Raw genomic sequence first — 23,058 nt, forward strand, 5'->3', positions numbered from 1 at the left:
TGTTTAAAAAACTTGTGAAATTTTAAATGTTTTGTAATTCTCATGTTTATGATGATTTATTAAATTAGAAAATCATCTTTAAAACTTATAGCGGTATGTTTTATCAAAGAACAAGCAGTATCTCCTAAAAATCTATTATATTTTGAATTAAATCCTTTATTTTTCTTAAAGCGTAACCAGGAGGAAGGTTATGGGGTTGTGGGACAGATGTAGAGTAGCCAAGATAATTGGCCTTCAAATGTCATCTTTTCTAAAGCTATCTATCTGTCTATCTATTTATCTATCTATCTATCCATTTATCTGTATATCTATTATGTATCTATATGTATTTGTGTGTGTGTTTGTATATATATAAATATATATACATATACACAGTCCATCCTCATTATCTGTAGATTCTGTATTTGTGAAATTGCCTACTCACTAAAATTTATCTGTAACCTCAATATTAACACCTGAGGCATTTTCATAGTAATGGACATACACACAGTGGCAAAAAATTTGGGGCCCAGCAGCACATGTTCCCAGCCAAGATCAAACAAGGTGACATTCTGCCATTTGTTTCACCTCTCATACTGCAAAAACATTTCCTTTTCATGGTCTGTTTGTTGCCAAGTTTTTTTTTTTTTTTTTGTATTTTCTGGGCTTTTTTGTAGGTTATTTCACTGTTAAAAATGTGCCCCAAGCATTGTGCTGAAGTGCTGTCTAGTGTTCCTACTTGAAAGAAGGTTGTGATGTCCCTTTCACAGAAAATAACAACAACAACTGTTAGATAAGCTCCCTTCAGGCATGAGCTATAATGCTGTTGGTCCTAAGTTCAATGTTAATGAATCAATAATGTGGGCAAGGGGAAATTCATGATTTGTATATCGGTCACTCTGGAAAGTACCAAAGTAACATCTATAGTGAATGATGAAACTACGGTAAAGGTAGAAAAACTGCTAAATTTGTGAACTCGAGATTGCATCTGATTTTTAAAAACTTATTGCATAACACTGCTGTGAGGTTGAAAACCGATGTCTGATCATGTTACTCAAAGTCAGGAAAATGTAAGACCCTTTACATCTAGTGATTTATTATAAATTAATACTGCATATAATTAGTGTAAGAAATATGTATTAAATAAAATGGATTTAAACGGAAACACGCATAAAATAAGCTTATGTATTGATAAGCTGAGAGAAATACCGTGACCCGAGGTTCACGGGAATTTAACCCTGCATTTTCCCAATGAGCAATGGCTTTGTATTTACTAATTCAGTGTTTATGGTGACTTTGTAATACAAAAGTACTCTGAATAAAGGGAATTAACTGTGTACAATACATATACTCAGAAGGTCAACTTCATGACTTTATTGAGAGTCCAGTATGTGAATAAATAACGTTAAGAATTGACATTTGCGTAATGTTTTCCATGTTAAAAACCTGAGGTGTTTTCATGTATATTATATTCAGGGAGCCAGGATTTTATTGATTTCAAAATGTTGTTTCAATAGCAATAGCTTTGATATATGTATATTGAACAGAAATTCTATTAATAATTTCAAAGTACCTGCAATAGTGTTTTTTGACTATAATCAGGACTCCTAACAACAACAATTACAATGAAAAAACAAAGCATACTGATGTTCTTCAAGGACACAGTATGATTGACAGAGTCAAAAATAATAACAATTAATGAGGGAAAATTCTCACAGGAAATCTGAATTTTTCTTTAGTGAATTTTACATTCTGACAATGTTTCGTTTTTCAGTCATCATGACTTTTGGTTTGTAGTAAAGAGGTCAGGTATTTAAAGATCTCCTACTGGTTAAGCTGCTCTAAAGTTCCCTTGGTAGATCTACTATTTTGACACTCAAATTGTCTCAATTATAAACTCTGACATTCTCATTGGCAATTATCGGCCACTGTTGTGTGTGTGTGACAAATGAAATTAATTTTAGCTTAAATATATTTATGATTATAATTAATTTATATTACATAAATTAATATTAATGTATTATTAAATAATCTATCAAGTAGTAATTTAATTCTAAAATTTTATATATTTTAAGTATTTCATTTTAATACTTCTTATACAGATGAATGCGTTCCTTTGATTTGGATTCATGTACCTTTTTAAGATACAGTTGGGAAAAGAAAGTAAGGTGTTTCTATTTTCTTTCCTAATGTTATGGTAGCGGGGACATTATTGATGGAGCAACCTTAGGCTGTCTTAAGATTTAATTATTTTACAGCTTTTCCTAGCAAGGAGCAAAATTAGGCTGCTTTTCCTGATGTCTAAGAATTCCTTCCCTGGGTTTCCAAAATAGACATCACATGAATTAAACCTTATGTGGAAAACTGATAAGATTTTTCAGAAAACCAGATAGATTTCAAGTTTTCAAAATATTGAAAGAATGAGTAGAGTGCTGCTTAGTTCTACAATTACTGATATGTTTTACAAATGTTATGATAGAAAGACTTGGCCTATTGATTCAACTTTTAATTTATTACTCAGTAATTACAGTTGTGAATAGAGTCCCAAAATAATAATATTAGGGAGAGCATTTATTTGTGTATTGCCAAAAGAAACTATTTTACCTCTATATGCTTTTCAGTTCAGTTTTTCCTAACATTCTGTGAAAGGTTTGGTGAACAAAATTGCATTATTTATCCAGCGCTTCTTTAAACTTTTTGGTTTTTTAGGCAGTAAAACAGCAGAATATATATTTTTTCAGGAATCATAGTTTATTTTCTATAAAAAAATGGTAAAAATGCTCTAGTTAATCAGTTTAAAAATGCATATGTTTGCAACAGTTTCCAGCTCCGAAATTGGAATGTTTGATTATAAATGATATATTATACTTTAATTGGTAAAGTTTCATCTCTTAGTAATACATAAAATAATGGTGTGTCTTATAATTGATGGCTTATTGGTTTTGATGAAATAAACTTCATTTCTGATATATTTTTTCATAGGTGGAATTTTTTTTTTTTTGAGACGGAGTGTCGCTCTGTTGGCCAGGGTGGAGTGCAGTGGCATGATCTCAGCTCACTGCAAGCTCCCTCTCCAGGGTTCACGTCATTCTCCTGCCTCAGTCTCCCAAGTAGCTAGGACTACAGGTGCCCGCTACTATGCCTGGCTGATTTTTTGTATTTTTAGTGGAGATGAGGTTTCCCCGTGTTAGCCAGGATGGTCTCGATCTCCTGACCTCGTGATCCGCTTGCCTCGGCCTCCCAAAGTTCTGGGATTACAGGTGTGAGCCACCGTGCCCAGCCTGCTACTTTTTACTTGATGTGAACACTTCCTATTGTTGAGATTATGTTTGCCATGCAGTCACTGAAATTTCTCAAGGTCTTGATTTTCAAAGGGAGTTTTGCAATTAAGCTCTTAGACCATCAAAGCCAAAATGGGCATTTCCCTCATTCAATTTCTGTGGATATATGTGAAAACATAGCCAAAGATATTATTAAATATCCACAGAAATTATTAAAACCATTACATTTAAATTTATTAAAATATAAACGAATGTCACCAGTTGTTTTCAGATTACCAACCAAAAATCTGAAGTACTCATATAATGATTTCAATTCAGTTTTACTTATTTGCACATCTTTATATCAAGCCTTTAATGATTTGGTCAAAGCAAATAAAATAATTAAAATGTGGTGATTAGGATAATGTAACATCTATTTTACTTGAAAGATTGGTATTAAATGTCAATGACTTTAAAAGTTTTAAGTATCTTCTCCTTAAATATTAGAGAAAAGATTGAGCAGAATGACACTTAAGCCTTAGATTTTGTGTAAATGCCTACCTGATGCAGAGTAAACCATTTTCACCTATGCTTCCATCCTTTGTTAAGTTAGGAAAAATAACATTTTTCACAGGAATTTACCAAGCCTTCCTTGAGATGAAATAGTATTATCAACACAGCAGGTACTCAATAAATATTTTGGAATGAGAGAATAAAGAATTGTAAGAGACCTAACGTTGTATGAATTTTTAAAAATATTATTACCAGTTAGCTTGAAAATATATGACACCAGACAACTTAAATTCAAATTACTAGAAGAGAATAACAATATATTTATATCATAATTTATACTTCAATATGTATTTACATATTCTTTTGTATTTAGCAGTCATTAAAACATTACATACATGTATATATACGCACATATATATTTGAATATGCACATATATGTATATCTTCGTTTAATACTTTGCCAGTGGTTGCTACCAATGAGAACATGCTCTTGGGTTTGATAATCAGTTAATGTATAAAATGTACATTGTATGAGAATAATGTAAATTTTTTGAAAAGCCAATTAAAACATTTATTATATCTCCTTTCTTGTCCTTAAGCCAAACACAGTCTATCTCTAAGGTAGTACAAAAGGATATCACACAATTGGCTAGAGAAAAGACTAATATAATTCTTCTTCTAAGAAAGCATGAATTTAAACGCTGAAAAAATGCAGGAAGTATTACAAAAGAATGAGAGAGTAGTGACTGAGACTTTAGGATTCAATAAAGTACACATCACAATGAAACTTTATTAAAAATGGCTTAAAGTAAAGGATACACGGAGTAAGTAATTGAGTAGATGAATTGAAATATTACTGAGATGTAAGATGTCACACCTAGGTAGAGTTTATTTACTTGTTTTCTAGAAACCCCTTAATCCACCTAGTTTCCTTCTGACCACTATCTCTTGCCACTTCAGTGAATGGAGTTCAGAATGCTGTAGATTTCAGGTCTTGCAAAGGAAAACAAAATTGCTCAATTAGACTCTTGAGAAAGGCTTCATTTGTCATTGTGAATTACTTTGGTCGTTGGCTACTCTTAAGGAGGAAAAAGGAAAGGGAATGAGGGATCATGCTCTGTGAACAGGTCAGATTAAACTAGCTAGAAGGGTTCATAGTGTCATATATATTGTTAAAAAAAAAGAAAAAGAAAAAGAGAAAAAGAATCTTTGATAGCCAATAACTTAATTATCTGCAACTATCAGTTTGGAAGGGCTTTTAAACATGTCCAAAATGTCTACCAAATTTTCAACAGGAGTGACAGCAGATTTTTAAGTAAGAAAAAAAATGTAGCAGTCTTTCTAGAATAAAACTCTGACAGATTATGATGAATTACCTTATTATAGCTGCTCGCATGACAAATGTACTTGATCACTGTTTCTTCCTGGGAATAGTTGAGCTTATCCAGAGGCAAAAGTTGAAAGGAAATGAGAGCTAACTAGTAATCTTAAGTGTAATACATCAGCATTTCTATAAAAGTATTCAAGAAAACCTTATCAATTACTGTTTATGTCAACAGAAAGTATTTCTTCTATTCCCTCATGATATAACCTTTTTTTGAGGATTTAAGTGATATAGATCCCTTTTTAAAAGATTGTAAAAGAAAAATTGTAAAAGATTGTAAAAGAAAAAAAGATTTTTATTTTACAAGTTCTATAAGGTATCCAGCTTTAAAAAAGATCCTCAGATAGGTTCCCACCCTAAGTTTTAGTTGAAATGGTAGCCACACATACTTACATATACTCCTAACATAAAGTTTTACTTATTCAAATATTTTTATATGAAGAAATGACAATTCAGAAAAATAGTGGAATTAAGAAAACTCAGTGGATGTTAAAAATGTTTACTGAGTAAAAAATTTCTCAACAAGTTTATTTAAAGAAATATTTTGATTTCTGAATTTTTAACATTTCATTTCTGGATTTGCATAAGCATGCTTCTGTTGGAAAATATGCTCAGGAAGTCAAATGCATTGACAAAACAGTTATATTGATTTTTATTCCACTATTTAAGGATGAATTGTAAATAAGTCTCCTGGGTTTCATAATTTTAAATAATGCATGTATAAAGCTAAGGATTTTGGTCATTACTTAGAAATTTAATGGTAGGTTAGGTTGCATTGTTTTGCATTATTTTTCTTTATTTGAATGTAACACAATCTAGATCATGCTGGATCATTCTTTTATTATTTCTTTGAAGAATTGTGTTTCCTGAGTAGGTTGAGTATTTTATAGACAACACATTAATAGTCAAATACTTATGAACTGTCAACACCGTATTGTATATTTCCCTACATACCAATTTGGATAATTGGAGTTAATGAGACCAAACGATCAAAACTAGTGTGATGTGTTCAGATAGTACATGATGTAGGAAGATCCAGCTATAAAACTATCACTTCAAAGTGGTCAATACAGATGCTCAGTGAAGCTTAGTTTTTGAAATATTATGTACCTAAGCAACACAATGAATGACTTTGCTGAGTGAATTTTACAAACCTATAGTCTTTTCTGCATTTCATTAATTCTCTTAGAGTGCACTGTGTTAAGGCAGAATGTATTACGTGTGAATAAGAAGTGTCCAGTAATTTTCGAAGTGCAGATTGTGATCCATTAGTGAATTACCTTAACAGTTCAGATGTTTATGACAAGAATCAAACATAGATAATAGAAAATATTGTGTCCGGACTTGGTGGGTTCTTGGTCTTACTGACTTAAAGAATAGAAGCCGCTGACCCTCGCGGTGAGTGTTACAGTTCTTAAAGGCGGCGTGTCCGGAGTTTGTTCCTTCTGATGTTCAGATGTGTTCGGAGTTTCTTCCTTCTGGTGGGTTCGTGGTCTCGCTGGCTCAGGAGTGAAGCTGCAGACCTTCGCGGTGAGTGTTATAGCTCTTAAGGTGGCGCGTCTGGAGTTGTTCCTTCCTCCCGGTGGGCTCGTGGTCTCGCTGGCTTCAGGAGTGAAGCTGCAGACCTTCGCGGTGTTACAGCTCATAAAGGCAGTGTGGACCCAAAGAGTGAGCAGTGGCAAGATTTACTGCAAAGAGCAAAAGAACAAAGCTTCCACACTGCGGAAGGGGACCGGAGCGGGTTGTCACTGCTGCTCGGGCAGCCTGCTGTTATTCTCTTATCTGGCCCCACCACATCCTGCTGATTGGTAGAGCCGAGTGGTCTGTTTTGACAGGGCGCTGATTGGTGCATTTACAATGCCTGAGTTAGACACCAAGCTTCTCCATGTCCCCATCAAATTCAGGAGCCCAGCTGGCTTCACCCAGTAGATACCTCACCGGGGCTGCAGGTGGAGCTGCCTGCCAGTCCCGCGCCGTGCGCCCGCACTCCGCAGCCCTTGGGTGGTCGATGGGACTGGGCTCCGTGGAGCAGGGGGCGGCGCTCATCGGGGAGGCTCGGGCCGCACAGGAGCCCACGGAGGGGGTGGGAGGCTCAGGCATGGCGGTCTGCAGGTCCCGAGCCCTGCCCCGCGGGAAGGCAGCTAAGGCCCGGCGAGAAATAGAGCGCAGCGCCGGTGGGCCGGCACTGCTGGGGGACCCAGTACACCCTCCGCAGCCGCTGGCCCGGGTGCTAAGCCCCTCATTGCCCGGGGCCGGCAGGGCCGGCCGGCTGCTTCGCGTGCGGGGCCCGCCAAGCCCACGCCCACCCGGAACTCCAGCTGGCCCGGAAGCGCCGCGCGCAGCCCCGGTTCCCGCTGGCGCCTCTCCCTCCACACCTCCCTGCAAGCTGAGGGAGCCGGCTCCGGCCTTGGCCAGCCCAGGAGGGGGCTCCCACAGTGCAGCGGCGGGCTGAAGGGCTCTCAAGTGCCGCCAAAGTGGGAGCCCAGGCAGAGGAGGCGCCGAGAGCGAGGGAGGGCTCTGAGGACTGCCAGCACGCTGTCACCTCTCAATATCACAAGTGTAAGAAAGGTTATTGTTTTATGTAACTTGTGTTTCAGTTCAGTATATATGCGTATATTCATATATACAAATGTGCTCACAGGATCACATTACACAGTGCATTTCTTTCCTCTGGGGTGTAGCCAAAAACTGAAAATCTAGGAGGGGAATCATTGATTAACACAGTAACAGCAAATAAACTGAGCCCACATTTGAGACCTTAGGTAAAGTTCTCCTCTCTGCTGTTCATCAGAACCACCTGTGGAGGTTCTGAAACATACAGAAGAATGTTTCTGATTATACCAATTAAATCCCAAACACTTGGTGTGGGATAACATTAATGTGTTTTGCTTTTGATTTAGAGCTCTCCAGGCAGTTAGGGTATGCAACTAAGTCACAGAACCTTTGTCATAAAGTAGCCATCATATGTTAGAGATATATTACATTCTATGATTATACAAACTTTTATCTGTGTACCAGTCAATGACAGGAGTATCATAAAGACAAGTAGGACAATTAATTGATCAAGAGTGTTGTAAATATTGGAAACATTAAGAATGCAGTAATTGATTTTCCATCTTCTTTGAATTAAACATATGTTAGCTCTAGTCAAACAGCAATGAAACATGTTTGGTATTTTTGCTTTCGGTTATTGTTTTTGGGTTTTTTTGGTATGTTAAATTCATAATTTCAGCTTTAATATTTTTTTGCTATAGGTCAAGTTTTCCTTTATCTGACATGTCCACAATTCTTACAGTCCTTCTTTTTTAGAATAGTCAAATCTGATCCTTTTGTTTGATAAGGCAAAAGACAATTAAAACTTGCATTATAATACTACTGCAATTTCTACTATCAGCACCAGGGTGTACAGAGGAGTAAACTATTTCCCCTGCATTATTTTCATCATCATTATTTGGTGCCTATTGTTTTGTGCATCAGGTAAATTGTGGAGATAAGGGCAGCATATACAAAGTAAACAAGTAGATTTGGACTTCAGTGTTCTTTTTCACTTTGTGTTGTTTGTTTTGTTCTGCTTAATTTAGCTGCTCTTTAGCTTGTAACTCTCAAAGTCAGTGGAAAGTCAAAGTCAGAGAAGATCTAAATGTTATAAACAAGTTTGACCAGCCCCAGTGATGTGTATAAGTTTGACATCTATTTAGAATGTATGAATTGGACCAGGACATGCAACATTAACTTTCCAGCCTTATTCCTGATAGTTTTCAATAACATGTTAAAATTCAGCAGCATGTGTTGAAATGTAAAATGAACACAGCATAAATTTAAAATGAAATAATTTCAGAGTTTGTATTTTAATTACACAAAAGTCTTCTGATTTTTTTTTTATTTTTTTAAGAGCCGGGATATCACTATGTTGCCCAGGCTGGACTCCAACTCCTGAGCTCAAGTAGATCCTCCTGCGTTAGCTTCCCAAAAAGCTAGGACTACAGGCACACACCATACCCCATGGCTTCTGCTATTTACTCCTCAGTCTGTTTGGCCTTTGTGTTTTTGGATTCATGTTAATTCTTTTTAACTGATATATACTTCATGAAAGATGAAATACTGGCATGGTAATTTCAATAATTTTTGCACTACAATTCCTCTCTTTTATTAAAAGTAAAATTATCATTATAGAATTAACTACCAAAAATACAGTGTTTTGCCCAACATTTTAAATGTTATAGTCCCAAAAATAAATATTCTAACACTTAAGTTATTTACTTTAAAGCACTATGCTACAGAATAATTTATCTAAAACAAGGTTTTTAAGTATGAAAAACATTAATTATGATAGTAAAATAAATGTATGAAGGTAACCAGGAGAATGTGTTTCCAAGTTTGTATTTAAATTCAGCTATGCAGATATATAATATTTGTAAAGTTATTTCTGTGAAAAAGAATCCATATGTACTTATTATTTTAAGAAAGGTTTTTGCCCTGTCACCCAGTGTATTTTTTTTTTTTTTTTTTTGAGACAGAATCTTGCTGTGTCACCCAGGCTGGAGTGCAGTGGTGCGATCTCGGCTTATTGCAACCTCCACCTCCCTCCCATGTTCAAACGATTCTCCTGTCTCAGCCTCCCAAGTAACTGGGGCTATAGGCGTGCACCACCATGCCTGGCTAGTTTTTTGTATTTTTAGTAGACATGGGGTTTCACCATGTTGGTCAGGCTGGTCTTAAACTCCTGATCCCAAGTGATCCGCCTGCCTCAGCCTCCCAAAGTGCTGGAATTACAGGCGTGAGCCACCATGCCCGGCCTTTTTAAACGACAACAAAAAAATACATTATATCTTTGTTATGAAACATTATTTATATCCAAACATTATTTGAAATCCATATGATCTGTCACTTTGCAAGTTTAGCTCCTCCATTAGGCAATCATTTCTTCAAGGAATATAATCTTAGTTAACATATTTGTCTTCATAACTCTAGGGCCCTCCATGGTGTTTAAATGAGAGAGTGAAAGAAAGAAGAATTTAAACTTTTGTGCTCCTCAGCAATATTATATTTAAGGATTTTTACATATCAATATTTTCTCATGCTCTCAAAATGTATCAAAGAAAGTTAATAAGCATATCTGTTTCTGGGGGATAATTTAACCAATTTTACACTTGTGGCAGCATCTAGGTATGCAATTACAAATAAAATGTTCTTGCACTTTTTAAAAGTGCAGTTACTGTTTACCTGAGTTGTAAAAAACTATAGATATCTGATGAATTTTGCCTTGGATATGCATTTTTGCTTATTTTGGCACAATAGTGAGTCTCCTTATCAATAGTAATGATTTCTTACATGTCTCAACATGTCCCAGTGGAAAGATCTTTGAAGATTATCTATTCCAACTGCCTTCAATATATAGATCAGGAAAGAAAGTACAAAGAGGTGAAATCTTGGACTTGCCTTCATGGACTGTCCTATTTCGCTTCAGAAATAGGCCTCCATGAGCACGTATTGTTTTCTGTATTATATCCTTTGGCTTTTTATGACCTACTATTTCACCTGATAACCACAATATTATTATTTGATGAATTACATATTATTAGACATTTCCCCCCCAAAATAACCTATCCCAGTAGTCAGCAAACTATGACTCTTTGTAGAAACAGTTTCCTGGTCTCTGTCTTATACTATGATCTAAATAATGTGTATTCTGTGAAGAGACAGACAGTTTAGCTGTGCATAAGCAAGTTGGTTGCTAACCCTTGTGCAGAAACAGAGACTACACTTTAAAAAGGCAAACACTTTTTCTACTTCCAGCTACTTGGATGTTGGACCTGAGAGGGGTTAAGGTGACAGTAAAAGCCTCAATTAAAGTGAGAAAGAATGGGTTCTGGAATAAAAGAACTCAAAGGGCAAAATAAAATATGGGAAATGCTTTCGGCTAGAAGATTAGTATCTCCTTATCTGAGAAAAGAAGTCTCAGTGGGAATCAGGTAAATGTATAAAGGAAAATTCTTTGGTCTTGTTTTAAGTTTAATAATGAATAAGCCCAGTAGTTTAGGACTTTAGAGATTTTAAAACCTGAGTGCAAAGTGGGAAAAGAACAGAGTGAATTTTCTGAGTGAAAACGAAGAGCCTCATCCTGAAAGGATATCTCTGTGTGTGTATGTGTGTGTGTGTGTGTGTGTGTGTGTATTGAGGGTGTACACGCCCATGTTTACCAGAAACAGTGGCTGGAGATCAATGTCCAACATGAAGCCAAAATATTTCTATTTAAATTTTAGCCCTAAATGTGCATATGTCACAAGAATTCTGTGAATATATTAAATCATATTTTAATTGATGTTTTTATGAAGAATGTGTTGCTTTTGAAAGAAAGAAAAAGGAATGATGATCTCCAAAGTAACCTGAAAAGACTGTTGAACTAGAGTTCAAGAGCTATGGGACGCTAACCAAATCTCTAGACTTTACTATTTGACATTTAAAACATGAGAGCTGAACTAAAACTTACCTAAGTTCTTTCCAATCTTAAATGCTATATCCAGCATCCAAAAGCTGGGGGCAGTAGCAGGAAGAGGGTGGTGGCAGTTATAAATAAACTATAGTAGGGGAAAGTAGAAATTGTTATGAACTATTTTGACACAGGGTTTCTATAAGAACCAGCCAGCACATCATTTTGGAAACATAATCCCTTATGGTATCACTATCACGATCATGGTCCAAACAATATTGCAATTTATATCCTGGTAGGCTACTGTGGCCTGGTTAGGAAATTGATATACTATTTAGCTTTCTCCAGTGACTGCATTTCAGAAAAATAGGTATACACACAATTAAATGACATGTTTAACAGATTCAAGTTACATTAACTGTTTTTAGCTTTTTAAATATTATACCTCATGTCTGTAATATAAATTTAATTATGGTTTCCATCCATGAGGGCAGTGATGGTCTGCGTGACATTAAAAGTGATGGTTTGTTAGCAATATCCTATTTTACAGAAAAGCATTGTGAGATGTGTGACAATAATAAATAGTTATATCAAAAATGAATTAAAACCGCTATATAAATAGGTTTCTGGTTTTAGGAAACAGCCTGGCACAGTTAAAATCATACTGCTTCCTGAACACAGTTTAGAGAGTCAGGCAATATTAAAATTAAATACTCTATCCATTTAAAGTAGCACTCCAATAAATATATATAGTATTTAGCTTATTATAAAATAATGGAAGAATCTTCTTATATTAAAATCTCACAGAGTGCCAATATTCCTATAATCATGGTAATAATAATTTAGAATATGCCCTCTCACAAGAATCTAGGACAGTCTACAAGTAATAAACAAAAAAATAAAGCAATGTGGGCTCACTGCCCAGATGATCTCAAATATGTATAATGGAACAAAGAAAGAAAAGAAATACTTATAAGCAAAATCACTCCATGAAGGAAGAAAAAATGGAATAGTAATTGGTCAAAATTGTGGTAGAAAATAATTATAGGGTGCTCATGAATCTCCTTTATAAGGAGCTATGTGTATCTAAGAATATTTTTTCCTGCTTTAGAATTCTTCAGAAGTCCCTTTGAGATAAATACAAAAGAAACAAAGGAAGCTACCTGTACATCTACCATTTTACAACACAAGAAAACTGCAACTGACGTAAAATGTGCAAATCTGCCTTAACCATGTTAATTGGAAAATCAGCATATTCCAATTAGAAATTCTTCCTCTCAAAACAGACATTATGTAAAATGAATTACATTTTTATTGGTAAATAGCAATTTGTTTTACATTCCGAAAATTGCCTAAAATTGCTCTCTAATGTCCTATTGATGTGACATTGCAGTTTATTGAACCACAAAACACTTTTGCTTTTTTCAGTTTTAATTTTTTTAATTTTAATGAAATTTTGTTTTGTTTGAGCTTTACGAAGTTAAATAACCAGTCAATAAAATAAACCAATATACCTATGTATTCAATATTCAACTCTCCTAGATTTTATTGGATACTCACTTAACTCACTCAGTTAACTCACTTAACTCACTGATTTTTTGCTTTCCTATGTGATTAGTTCAATTAGTCTTTCATTCATCTATCTATTTATTTATTTTATAAAAACAATTGAGTTTCTACTTCATATGTAATACTGTGCTAGGTATTGTATTAAAAGGATAAATATAATTCCTGGTCACAAGGCAATCAAAAAATAGTAGACATTAAAAATAAGTAATGTAATGAGGGTTCATAAGCTCTAGTTTCCAATATCCAATACAAAACATAGATTTCCAAGGGTTATACAAGAGTAAGCAGTTCATAAGTGCATAGATGTAATTATATTGGAATTTTAAATGTAATTTTAAAACATTTATAACCCCAATAAGGTACTCAACTAATATTTCACACGTTAGACCTTTCGAATGCCTACCCTCACACTTCAGTTGATGTAAACTACCCCGGTTTAAAAGCACACCTCACCCCTAGGAAGGGACCAATATGCCCTATAGGTTTTGGCTACTTTCTCAAATTGGATATGGGTGGGAACACAGGAAAATATCCACTTGTAAGGATCATAAATGCTCTGTAAAACAGAACAATTTATTTAACTTTACCTTCTAATTTACTAGGATAGAAGAGTAAAATGTGACATTTCCAGTCTTACCACAGACCTATACTTGTGCTTGTAATTTGCAAACAGTGTAATTCTTTACATACTTTGTTATTTCCACTGCATTGTTACTGAACCTGATTCTAAACAGACCTGTTTTTTAAAATTTTTCAGGAAAGTAAATGTGGATAGTATGAATGATACTGTAGTAACACCAGAAATAATACATTTGTAATAAGGATGTTTCTAAGCTGTTTTGGAAAGTAATACAATTCCACCAATGTTTTTTATTTGATACATTGTATGCTGGTGGCAGGAAAGAACTGACAAAAATAGATGTCTTCAACTCAATAAAAACGTATTTGCCACCAAGGCATCTATAAAGGTTCTTTTGACTATGCATTTTTGGAAACAACATTCCATTTGATTGTGTCACATCATAAAGATCTCCGGGGTGCAAAAGAAAATAGAGGTTGGAATGAGAATTGTGACTGTAATCCACCATCTCTCATTTTGTCCACTGCAAACTTCGAAATAATATCCCTTTGAAACTAATGGCATGTTTTATTTCTTTCTGTTTTAGGTAAGCACATTAATCATTCCAGTGTAATCAGACTGCATCAAGGTAAAACAAGAAAAAGTGGTGAAATTATATCTTATAGCAATGTTCAATATATAAATATATATGTGGTTTTGAAAAAAATGTTTTAAAGCCAATGTTCTTTTAAAATTTTTTTCAACTCTCATTACATTCACAGGGTACATGTACAGGTTTGTTAGATGGATGCATTGCATGATGCTGAATTTTGGAGTATATTGATCCCCATCACCCAGGTAGTGAGCAGAGAGGCTAATAGGTAGTTTTTCAGCACTTTCTTCTCTTCCACTCTCCCTACTCTGGTAGTCCCCCATTGTCTGTTATTCCCATCTTTATGTCCATTTGTACCCAATGTTTAGCTCCCAAGCTCCCACTTATAAGTGAGAACAGGCTATATTTAGTTTTCTGCTCCTGCATTAATTCACTTAGGAGAATGGCCTCCAGCTGAAACAATGTTGCTGCAAAGGGCATGATTTTGTTCTTTTTTATGGCTAAATAGTATTCCGTGGTGTATGTGCACCAGATTTTCTTTATCCAATAGACCGTTGATTTCATGTCTTTGTTATTGTGAGTAATGCCTCAATGACCAATATTCATTTTGGTGTTTGTTTTGTTATGACATCAATTCAGTAAACTCAATCTCTGTATTATATGGAATTTCTAAAATATTTATTAACTGCTAATATTATTAAAGGATTTATTCTTAAAGTAAGAAATGCAAATTAGAATAAATTTTAAATGCAAAACTACTTTGTTAGCAATGTGCAAATTTATATTTTTGCAGCATGTATTGCATCTAAAAATAAAATATAAAAAAGAAGTGATTTTCAAATACAAAAAGATACTTCATATACACATTGATTTTAAAGAATGAACAGTTTGTAAAGATCATACATACAACAGAAAAAATTGAGGACTATTAATAAATATTATTTATCATTCTGAAGATTAGTTAAAAACATATAAGGAATAAACTTCTCTGTAAAAAATGAATCAATCATTTCCCTAGGGAAAATATGGATTGTCTGTAAAATTCACAATATTGCTTTTTGTAAACTAAATCAAATTCTATTTTAACATGCTAGTTTTGCATTCACAACTTAGAGAAGAGGCCAAGTTTAATCATAGTTATGAGGAAACACATGTTCCAATGCTTTCTAGAGATACGTGTAATATCTAAATTAATATATTCTAAAAAATATTTGTTCTGCTTCCAAAATAGAAGATTGCTTATAATTATTTTAAATTTAGCCTGCTTATTTCATGCTTAAGTTGGAGGCCATGAGAATTCAAGTTTGTAGAAGCATATTCTATCCAGTATAGGCAGGCATTTTTAGAGATGCAAAACCAAAATTAGTTCTTTTTGGAACAAAGTCCTCAAATTGGTAGTTAAGGAATCTACATGGCTTTAGAATTTTGTACTCTTGAGTCCTGCAATGCTGAAAGGGAAGGCAAAGTCTCATTTTGCCTTCTCAGAAAAAAAGGACAAAGTATTTTAATTAATCAAGACCCATCGTCATTCATTTATAATAGTTTGATAGTAAATAATAATTTACTTTTTTTTGATGATTATACATTATGCCACATCTCTGGGGTCCTTTGTAGTAGATGATCTAATAAAACAACATGAAAATGAAAAATATATGAATACGTGCTTTTACCCAAACAAGTAAAAATGTAAACCAAAGAAATAAAAACCTCAACAGCAAAATATTCTTTATCATATTATAAATCAGCTTATTTTATTGGCTTTTGTCATTTTCCTTTAAATAAAGAGTAGAAAAAACTTTTTTGGCATAAACTGTTAGTTGGATTCCAGTTAATTGATGCTTTACTTAATGTAAGCATTCTAGACTGCATGATATATGTTCCTTGTCCATTTGAGGCTATACTTTGAATGTAAATACCCAACAATGACATTATGAGTCTAAGATTGATAGTTATTTGATTTAGCAACATCTGTTGTTGTTTAATGTACTCCAAGCAGATGCTCTTTCTTGATATTCAACATACAATTTGACTTACTCTTATGATATAAACCCTTACCAGAAGAATGTTATTGTTATTTGAATATAGCTATTAGTATTAGCAATTGTATATGTCTTTGCTCAAACAAATGTCTATAGACTGGGTCAAGCATCGTTAACTTCTATAAGAATGGCAATGGACAAACTCTTTGAATCACTTACTTCTTACAATGACATAATTCTTTCATGTGCCAGGGCATCTAGAGTCATTTTTTTCAATTAGCAATTTTTTTCTTTTAATGTTCTTGGAGGATTAATGAAAACACAACAATATGAACTATCAGAATGATGTGCTTTTCTATGTTCGTCATTGTATTTTAAACCTGCCACATTACACAAAGAGTTGTAATGAGAATAATACCTGGAGACAGACACTACTGTTTATTTGATTCTCTATTCACGTTTTGTAATATGCCTCAAAACAATAAAAACCTACATAATTGTAACTGATCACATTGTTTCATGGTTTATATGAGTACTCACAGGGATTTAGGATAAATATAAGAGTGATCATCCTGAGGATTAGAGAATTCTGATCAAGGTTTTACTGGGCAGAGAATATCTTTGAAATGTAAGCAAAAATGTGTTTGTCCTAGGAAGGACATTCAATATATATAATATCATAGTAGAGATTACATGCACTGTAACTCTAAGAAGACCTTGATGTCCTATAATGGGATATGCATCTGATTCCCCTTTTCTGAGAAAGTCTCTTATTCAGTGTTAACAATCCAATGATATCTTGTGACCTTTTCTATGCAAATATGAACAATTTGAGGCTATCACAGTCTCTCATGAGTTGCTCCTTAAAGGGACATTCTTAATTGCTTTTATAATCTCAATTTTATTTTAACCTCCATTACCTATAATATCTTACTTGAAGCTTGAAATTAACTTTTCTTTCTTCAGCATTTTATCCTTTCCTATTTCGGTAAGCAATGATTTTACTTTTCCACCAAAGTTTTAGGGGGTTTCATCCAGCATAGACATGATTAATTCACTGTGATAAAGTATATCTTTATTACCCTATTCTATTAATCACATTCACTGAAAGAGAAGCATGTCTTTCTTTTCTATGGAGACTTTTCAAAGATATACTGTCCTTTTGCATATAGAAGTAAAACTAATGGTGTTATAAAAATAGTACAAAAAGTCTTTAGATATTTTCTTGGTAATTAGGCTGTTTTATACCCTCTCACTTAATTTCTTGTTAACTCAATCCTTTTGTAATCATCAGATGGGCATCTGTTAAGTGACTGACCTAGAAATCAAAGTTGTAACCTTAGTCTACTCAGAATAATACTCTAAACAATAATGGGAACCCCATTTAGGCTATAATTTGAGAAAGAGAATAAGATCAGTTAACAAATGTAACATCACCTTTTAGATTAGTTAACAAAGATAACATCGCCATTAGATTTTCGAAGATAACACCATCTTTTTTTGATGTTAACAAAGATAACATCATCATTAGATTTTCTTTTCTACCTAAGAGTTTCTCTTTTCTTTTGTTTGTTTGTTTGTTTCTTTTTTTTTTTATTATTATATGGAGTCTGGCTCTGTTGCCCAGGCTGGATTGCAGTGACATGATCTCGGCTCACAACAACCTCTGCCCCCGGGTTCAAGCGATTCTCCTGCCTCAGCCTCCCGAGTAGCTGGGATTACAGGAGAGTGCCACCACGCCCTACAGGAGAGTGCCACCACGCCCACTAATATATATATATATATATATATTTTTTTTTTTTGTATCTTTAGTAGAGACAGGGCTTCACCATGTTGGCCAGGCTGGTCTCAGACCTCGAACTCCTGACCTCGTGGTCCGCCCACCTCAGCCTCCCAAAGTCCTGGGATTACAGACATGAGCCACTGTGCTTGGCCCTAAGTGTTTCTTTGAAACAGGCTAAATATGCCATCCCCTCCTTAAAGTTAAATGTATTTAAATATGTTCCTATTACTACTGATTTATGAGGCAATGACAATGCATATTTCCTTATTCTAAAATTAAATAAGGCAATTTAGCCTTTGTGTTTGTGTAATTAAACAATAGTGACAGCTTTAATTTTTAAACTACACAAACTTGTCATCCTCATAAGGAAAGGAAATCAAATACAACTGTAATAACAAGTGATTAAGCATTTTAAAGTTTCAAATGGGCAGTGAATGTGCACTTAGAAGAAAATGTTAATAATATTCATGATCATTTCAGTTTCCATGCCACAGTCCTCAAATGTTTGAGTCTGTGATGTGAATAATCAATTCATGGTCAAATTTGGCCCATGAAGTTGAAAGTTCTCCTAATGCAGATCCTGTGTTCCATTGTCTTTTGTGAGCTCCTTTTACTCAGAATAGTGTTTGGCATATTTTTAGGCTGTTATGAATATTTCTGTTATTGTTAGTGATAGATTTATTTGTTAGATTATTTTATTGATAAAAGCTCTGTATTGGTTCCATGCCAGATTCCACACAACAGAATTGACTTTCACAAATTATTTATTAAAAATTATCTGTCTCAAGCTTCTTCTTATAGTAAGGAAACATAAATAAGTTGGTAGGCAGGTAGGTAGGTAGATAGAAAAAATAGAAGGAAAATCATAATTTCCTTTAAAACTAATTGCTCAATATCATACTCTTTTCAATTACCAGAGATTTTAGTAATACAACCATTAGTTTCATATAGTAGTCTTTTAAATAAGCAGTATATATTTAGTGTAGCCTTTTTTCCCCAGAATCTGTGCCAACTTCTTAAGATACAAAAGAGATGACATGAAACATGTTCTCAACGTCACAATCCAATTATAGGTCTATTATTTATAAAAAGAGATATAAGAAAGGTAGTTCAACTGGGGCAAATAATTTCAAAATGGACAAAAATAATTTATTTTTAAAATCATACTTCCAAAATTGTACCTTTGAACTACCTCTTTCAATGGTTAGACATTGGCAACTGAATAAATGCAAAGGTACATTAATAAATTAAATTTATTTATTTAATACCATTTACAGTTTATATTTTACTCAAATCCTTTTCACTTCCTTAATTTTTCCAACTGATCACAGAATACCTGTTTTCTATTGTTCCTTTGAACACTTTGTCATTTTTATTTATGCACAATTTTCTAACAATATATTAGTATATAGTATACAGTATAAAGACAACTACACCACTCTGGTTATTTTAAGCTTAAAAGAATAATCTTATAATCTATAGAATCACAATCATGGATCTATAATAACCTAGTCTCTTAGCTCAAGAAAAATAAAATTATTATTGTGTGATGGTTAGATCTTTTAAAAAAAAACACTAAATTTCAATTTTACTCACTTTTATACATAAAATACTTCAAGAAAAGCTTACTGTAAAAAATTATTGATGCTACCATTACTTGTGGTTTAGCTTTAATAATAAAAGTTCTGGATCTATTTCAAATGAATTATTTTGTTGTTTTAGATCTCAGATTATTAAAGTACTAAGAAATTATTTTGAATTCTAGGATTTATAGCCCTTGGCAATTTCTAAGCCAAGTGCCATTGTAAATGAGAATATATATCAACTTATATATTTAATCTCAGCTGAAAACATACCCTCTGTACTAACCTAAGTGATTCAGTTGTATTATTTCAGGAATCTTAGGCTGTCAATATCATTAGAATTATATCGTCATGATTTTAACAAGATGACAGCCATGACTATGCTTAACTCTAAAACTCAATTTTGTTAGATTTTATTTTGTTCTTCAAGCTGCACAGTTATGCAGACAGTATTGAAGATGTTTTCCAAATATTTCCCCATTAGTTTAATTAAAAATATATGAAGACAACTAGAATAATAAAAGATTAATTATTTAGAAAGCAGCTTATTTAGTACTTATACCCCATTTCCAAATAGTGGGCAGAATCAAATTATGGAGACAAATATAATTTCTTACTTATTATTTAACCTCTGGTTCAAACACTGATTTAAGTTATTTATTTTTGTAGGGGTAGGGAATGGCTCTAAGTGTATGGCGAATATAGTGCTCATTTTTGTTCCTATGTGATAGGCCTCTTTCAATACTTTCTTCTTATTTAGAAAGACAAATGCATGACTCTAGGACACAATTCAGCTATGTTTTCTTTTTTTGTGTGTGTGACAGAGTCTCTCTCTGTTGTCCAGGCTGGAGTGCAGTGGCACAATCTCAGCTCACTGCGATCTCTGCCTCCCGGGTTCAAGCAATTCTCCTGCCTGGAGACTACAGGTGCGCACCACCATACCTGCCTAAGTTTCATATTTTTAGTAGAGATGGGTTTTCGCCATGTTAGCCAGGCTGGTCTCAAACTCTTGGCTTCTAGGGATCCTCCCACCTCAGTCTCCCAAAGTGCTCGGATTACAGGCATGGGCCACCACGTCTAGCCTCAGCTGTTTTTCTGAAACTAAGAATCAACTTTGGTTTCCAATAACATGTTCTTCATTTCTTTCTCAGACTTCAACAAAAGCATCTTTAACATTCATATTCTTACCAACATTTCGTTTAAAACAATCTAGGCTTTTTTTTTTTTTTAAATCAAATCCCAAAGTTACTTCTACATTTGTATTTGTTACATCAGCTCTCCACTGCCAGGTAACCACATCTTATTGTTTATATGAGCAAAAATGTTTTCTTTCACAGTTCTGGGAGCTGGAAGTCTGAAATTAGTTTCACCTGGGAAAAATTAGTGTTCGTGGGGCCACGCTTCCTCTGGAGTTTTAAGGGAGGAATCTGTTCCTTGCCCCTTCCAACTCCTGGTGGCTGCTGGCATTCCCTGGCTTATGGCTGCATCACTTCAGTCTCTGCCTCCATGGTCACTTTGCCTCCTCCTTTTTTCATGGTCTCCCTCTTCCACACTCTCATTAAGGACATTGTAATGGCATTTAAGGCCTACCCAGATGATCTGGGATAATCTCTTCATCTCAAGATCTTCAATTTAGTCACCTCGGCAAAGATTTTTTTCTTATAAAATAACATTTACAGATTTCAGGAATTAAGATTGGATGTCTTCACGGAACATTTTTCCAGCCTACTACCAGGGCCATTTTAGAATTCTGCCTACCATATTCCTGAAAAAAGAAAGTTATACTATATTTTTCAGAGTACTTCAGGACTAGTCATATTTGTTTTATTAATTCCCTTTAATCATGGAATATAGTATAATGTAAATAATTATAAATATATGTATAATAGAGCATTACACAAATTGTCTAGTTTAGGCAGAGCATACATTTGTCATTACTTTCATCTCTAATTCATTTCAAGTCCACATTCTCGCTTGTTTGGAAATGATGGCAGTAGGGAGGTAGTAGCACAAGCACCCCGTTTTTGCCTTTCTTAGACAACTATAGCAGTAATATATATTTGATAATCCTTTACAAAGTAAAGAATACAAAATAAATATGTACTTGAGCGATATATTTCCCTCGAAGTCATGCTTAGTTTTTTTATTTTTAATCTTATTTCTTTTGTAAAATCATATTGGATTTTATTCTCAGCCAATTACTTACTCAATTATATCGTTATAGCAATCATAAATCAATATTTGTATTATATAACCTGGTTCTTCCACTAATTAGATCTGTGGTTTAGTTTCTTTTGTTTATATTGGAATAATACTTACCCAACATATTCATTGTAAAAAGCCAATATCGTATGGCTTATATTTTGCTAGTGTAATGAAGCATTTTTGTCATTTTAACCTGACTCATTATAATATTAATAAACACGACATCAACTTTTTACATGTTTTAGTAAGTAAAGTTCTAAGAAGAGCTTGGACTGTAAGCTAATGACTACAATGCAATATAAACACAGAAATGACATTGAGTTAATTATAGAGTTAAAGTAAACCCGCAGCTACATTGATTTTCTATTCGGAAGAAATAGTGAATACTTTGGCAAAGTTCCTGGTACTATTTTAAATATATGAATACAAGTTAGAGAAAGCAATCCCGTAGAGGTTTTATTTTATCTTTATACCCACCGAATTTGTAAGGAGATTGCTTGATGAGGAAAGATTCCACTCCACTGAGTAAAAAGTGTGAAATATGTTGCAAAACAGAATGTGTATTTTTATTAACAATTAACATTAATTTTCTCAATCAGATGCACTAAAATCTACCAACAGTACTATTGTCCCTGGAGACTATTATAAAATATCAGTATGTTAATTCATTTTAATTTCATATGCATAATATGCTTATTATTGTTTATGATTGATTAAAGGACATTGTTACAGAGGTAAACTTCAACTCTTTCGTTTAGAACTCAAAGTGAACAATATCATCTGTGAATTATTTACATATGTAATTCACAAGGATTTTCATAAAAAGTGTCCTTTTAAAAAAAGTAGCATACAGATTATTATATATTGTTTATTGAAAATTGTCATGTATATAAAATATTTATTTTATTTAGTATATAAGAAACACAAATGTAAAGAAAACATTTTCACACTAACTGATCAAAATATGTTGATTTCTGCATATATATCTAAATATATTAATATTTTAGTCCATGTGTACAATGCTAATTCTGAATTTTTATAACTACTAAGAAGGAAAATAATGTTTTAAGCACTTACTCTGTGCCATGTACTGTGATACAGAAACTTTATTTGCATTGCGTCAATGCATTCTTGCAATTATATTTTTAGGAAGAAAAAATATTGCCACTTTCCTATTTGAGTCATAGCTGTAGGAAACTAT

General features: G+C 33.7%; 1 protein-coding gene across 15 annotated transcripts in view; it reads left to right on the plus strand.

Moving 5' to 3' along the window:
- Positions 1-23,058, plus strand: part of CADM2 (cell adhesion molecule 2) — a 1,115,441-nt gene that overhangs the window by 538,567 nt on the left and 553,816 nt on the right. For 4 of the 15 annotated variants that reach the window (NM_001256504.2, NM_001256502.2, NM_001256505.2 and 1 more), the window contains exons 1-2: positions 7,061-7,695; positions 14,302-14,343. The exons of 10 other annotated variants lie outside the window; for them this stretch is intronic. Coding sequence is in view for 1 of the 5 variants with exons in the window: in XM_017006062.3 (XP_016861551.1) it covers positions 14,302-14,343 (42 nt within the window). In the remaining 4 variants the exon portion in view is untranslated. Of the gene's footprint in view, positions 1-7,060; positions 7,696-14,301; positions 14,344-23,058 lie in introns of those variants that run through there. One more of the 15 variants, XM_017006062.3, reaches the window with a different exon arrangement.

Source organism: Homo sapiens, chromosome 3 (genome assembly GCF_000001405.40).
Source record: "Homo sapiens chromosome 3, GRCh38.p14 Primary Assembly".
Taxonomy (NCBI): Eukaryota; Metazoa; Chordata; class Mammalia; order Primates; family Hominidae; genus Homo; species Homo sapiens.